Source organism: Homo sapiens, chromosome 7 (assembly GCF_000001405.40).
Source record: "Homo sapiens chromosome 7, GRCh38.p14 Primary Assembly".
In the NCBI taxonomy this organism is placed as follows: domain Eukaryota; kingdom Metazoa; phylum Chordata; class Mammalia; order Primates; family Hominidae; genus Homo; species Homo sapiens.
Genome location: NC_000007.14, coordinates 47631669 through 47636108, shown reverse-complemented (window position 1 = coordinate 47636108; position 4440 = coordinate 47631669). Strand labels below are relative to the sequence as shown.

The window sequence follows — 4440 nt, the reverse complement described above, 5'->3', positions numbered from 1 at the left end:
CACTCATTCCTGTTTCTTCACTTAAACAAAATGGCATGAATGCTGCCTTCTCAGGGGGCATGCTGTGAGGATGCTGTAACTTTGGAGAGTGTCTGGCCCTTTCTGGGGTGCCCCTGCTTCCTCCCTTCCTCTTTTCCCCTCCGTCTTCCCTTTCCTCCCTTCTCCCCTTCTCCCCTCTTCTCCCTACTCCCTTCTCTCCTTCCCTCACTTCTTCCTCTCCTCCTGTCTCCTTTCTCCCTCCTTCACTCCTCTTCTCCTTTCCTTCCTCCCTCCTCTTCTTTCCTTCTCCCCTCTCTTCTCCCCCATCTCTCCTTTCCCCCCTGCTTCCCTCTCCTCTCTCTCCTGTCTTCCCTCCCTCTTCCCCTCCCTCCTTCCCTGTCCTGGCCCTGAACCTTTCCCTGGGCTCCCACGCTCTGCTCAGTCTCACCTAGGCCCAGCCCATGTCTTCTCAGACAACCCAGCACCACCCCTCGACCACCTTCCACAGAGGGGGCTGCCCTTTTCAGCTCCCTTGCCAAGGGGCCGCCAGCATTTCCAGGTCAGCTCACGAATGGCAGTGTTCTCCAGCTCTTCTGTGTCAAAAACAAACACCCTCCTCCCAGCGCTGCTCCTGGCCGGCTGCCCCGCCCTCTGCCAGGCGTTTCTCAGAGGACAAGACCTAATGAGCTGGCTGCTGCCAGCCTGGTCCTCACAGTTCATCAGTAGGATTCCAGACAGGCATCAGGCTCAGGGACAGCGCAGAGACAGCTGCCTTCTCCTCTTTCCCGGAGGCACCTGAGACCTGAGCGCACCGAGGGGGCCGGTGCATGGGCTGCTCCCAGTGAGCGTGAAGTTCACGCCCAGAAGTACACCCGCCACCAGCTGCAGCAGCACAGGTTCGTCCAGCGCACCACGAGAGGCTGGGGCTCTCTGGGAGTGGAGGAGCAGGTGGGGATGAGCCTGGACTTGCACGCAGAGCTCTGGGCTCCATTAAGCCCCCGCCCCGTCCTAGCTGTGTCGTCTGGGCACGCCAGTTCTCCCTGAGCTGCTCTCCTCCTGGCAGAAGGGGGGTCATAACAGCACCAACATGCGGGATTGCGGTGAGGTCTAAACAGTCAGGCACAGGAAGCTGCACAGAGAAGATGCATGGGCAACAGCGCCCATGGAGAATCCATGCAGCCCCCTAAGAGGGGCAGAGAGCCTCCAAGCAAAAGTCATTCTATCTCAACACTCACTCCCCTGAAGACTATTCGTTCTTGGGAAATAGGATACCCAATATTGAATGTTTGTGGTCCCCTCGTAACTCACATGCTGAAGCCCTAATCCTGAATGAGATGGTGTCTGGAGATGGAGCCTTTGGGGGTGATTGGGGTTAGATGAGGTCAAGAGGGTGGGACTACCCACCACAGGATTACAAGGAGAAAAAGAGGAAAGGGATCTCCCCGCCCTCTCTCTTTCTCCCCCTCTCCCAACCAGGGCAGAAGAAGAAAAGCCATGTGAGGACACAGTAAGAAGGCGGACGTCTGTAGGCCAGGAAGAGAGTCCTCACCAGGACCCAACCATGCTGGCACCCTGGTCCTGGACTTCTGGCCTCCAGAACTGTGAGAAATAAATTTCAGTTGTTGAAGCCATCTGTGGTATTTTGTTATGGCAGCTGGAGCAGACTCAGACAATCTTTAAATACACATACTTTCAGCAGTAGCTGGCATGTCTGACCTGGCAAGATGAACTGATTGCACACTTAGGTAAACTGACTACTCATCCCAGCAAAGCCCCTAACCCTGTAACCACCCACTGAACTGACCAGACTGGTGGCTTAGCCCAGCCTTGGACAGGCAGAACTTCAGCCTTGGACACAGTCCCTGTCATCCTAAAGGAGCCTCCTTAAGGAGCACTTGTAGGACCAGAGAGAGTCAGAGTTAATAGCAATGATAGTAACTTCAATACTTTATGTGGAGCAGCTGTGTACAATGAGCTAGGGCTGGGACCAAGCATTTTATATTCATCATCTTGTTTAATCTGTGTTGTTACCTTGTGAAGAAGGTAGGATTATCTCGATTTCACAGAAGAGGAAACTAGAGATGAGATTCCCTGTCCAAGTTTACACTGCAAGTACCAGATGGACCAAGCTTCCAACCCTCCTCTCTCTGACTTTAAACCTTATGCATTCCATTAAAATTAAAGGAAAAAGAGTCATTGATCAAGGTCTTTTTCTTTCTTGAGATTTATTTGGGGTTGGGGGTGGTGTTGCTTTTTTTAAAAAAGAAGAGGCAAACATGTCTGTTAAAAACAAGCAGACAGGCCGGGTGTGTTGGCTCAAGCCTGTAATCCCAGCCCTTTGGGAGGCCAAGGCGGGTGGATCACTTGAGGTCAGGAGTTCGAGACCAGCTTGGCCAACATGGTGAAACCCTGTCTCTACTGAAAATACAAAATTAGCTGGGCATGGTGGTGCACATTTGTAATCCCAGCTACTTGGGAGGCTGAGGCAGGAAAATCACTTGAATCTGGGAGGTGGAGGTTGCAGTGAGCCAAGATAGTGCCACTGCACTCCAGCCTGGGTGACAAAGTGAGACTCTGTCTCAAAAACAAACAAACAAACAGAAAGCTCTGTTTTACCATCTTGGAGAGAACAAGCCTGAGACGGAAGGTTGGAAGCTCAAGAGGAGGTGAGGGCGCTAAGCAGGGAAAGCAGACCCCAGCAGTGGAAGTCCCTCCTGCCCCCCTCACTGTGAGCTTTGTCTTGTAAGAGTATGTGACATCGGGAGGCTGAAGCAGGAAAATGGCATGAACCTGGGAGGCGGAGCTTGCAGTGAGCCGCGATAGCGCTACTGCACTCCAGCCTGGGCAACAGAGCAAGACTCCATCTCAAAAAAAAAAAAAAAAAAAAAGAAAGAGTATGTGACATTCAGATATTGTCAGCGCAGGATACTCTGCTGTTGCTCAGAGGCTGGGGGCTCCTGCCGCGTTTGTCCACTGTCCCCTCTTCCTCATGCAGTGACTGCTGAGCCTGGAGTTCCCAGTGTTCGAGCATGGCAGAACTGGCTTAAATGGCCCCTCTCCCACTCTGCCCTTGCACCTCTCTTAACCTAACCTTGTGTCCTCATCCGTGGAGTGGGCATACAGGCCACACTGCACAGGTTTGTTGTAAAGTTGAATTAAAGGAACGCTGGAATCTGCCACCACAGTGTCTAGCACATAAGAAGACTTCGAAAGATGCCTGCTTACTTCTCTCCTTCTCTATCTACTAAGATTGTGTTGATGCCTTTTACAGTTTGGTGGGGAAGGTCAGAGGACGTGGGGAAACATGTATGTTTAGGAGAGTGTTTTGACATACACAAGAGTGGTGATTTCTTTTTTTGTTGTTGTTTTTGAGACGGAGTCTCACTCTGTTGCCCAGGCTGGAGTGCAGTGGCATGATCTCGGCTCACTGCAAGCTCTGCCTCCCGGGTTCATGCCATCCTCCTGCCTCAGCCTCCCAAGTAGCTGGGACTACAGGCGCCAAGAGTGGGGATTGCTATACGAGCCCAAAGTTCCTACAGAACCTCATTTCACCATCACTTCCTTCTCTGTTTCCTTCCCTTCCCAGCCCCCGTCAGAGGGCCTCTCAGCCCCAACCTTATGTCCCCTCCCAGGCCCCCATCCTGCCCCAGCCCCACATGGCTGCCTTCAGCCTGTTCTTCCTAAAATATTCATCTGATTGAAGCACTGCCCCCACCTCAAACACTCTGATGGCTGGACATCACCCAGGGTGCCAAATTCTGAGCCTCCACTGCCCCACGCACAGTGTGCAGCCCTGCAGCCTTCCCAGGTTCCTCTCCCACCCACCCCCTGACACCCTGGACTGACTCCCCTTACAGGAAGGCCTCCCCTGCTTCATTTTCTTCCCTACCCAAAGAGACTGCAGACATAAAAGCTCCCCCACCTTCCAGCCCAGGAGGATTCCAGTCACTTCTTCCTCATCAGGTTCCATCCCTGACCAGATGGTTATCACACTGTGTTATTTATCTATCATCTGTGTCCCCACCGAGCTCAAGCTTGCAATCCCTAAAGGTCAGAGGTTGCATCTTCAACCAGCACCCGGCACACAGCAGGTGTGCAAAAGATGCCTGCAGGAAGGCGAGCTAGTTAAGGGCCTGCTCAGCTGCCCCGAGCCAGTGCCTGGTGGCCGAACCAGCTCCAAGCTGGTTCTTGCCCATCGCACATGCCGGTGTCCCTCATTCCACATTTCCCCTTCACTGCGGGACATTTCAGCATGCTGAGTCTCCTCAGACACTAGCACAAGGGGGCAGGTGCTTACTGAAAGTCCAGCCCGGGTGCATATGTGGCCTATGTGTGCAGTGATGCACCACTTCATGGCGGGGATACGTTCTGAGATTTTGTCATTGTGCGGTCATGGAGTGCACTTACACAAACCGAGGTGGTGGAGCCTCCTACTCACCTAGGCTACACCGGACAGCAGAT

At 53.1% G+C, this 4440-nt stretch overlaps 1 annotated feature.

Moving 5' to 3' along the window:
* Positions 723-1434: an enhancer, noted in NCBI's record as "H3K4me1 hESC enhancer chr7:47674273-47674984 (GRCh37/hg19 assembly coordinates)". NCBI's record gives its function as "activates a minimal SCP1, AML or CMV promoter by ChIP-STARR-seq in naive H9 embryonic stem cells {active_cell/tissue: H9 hESC(naive)}" and the evidence as "EXISTENCE:reporter gene assay evidence [ECO:0000049][PMID:30033119]".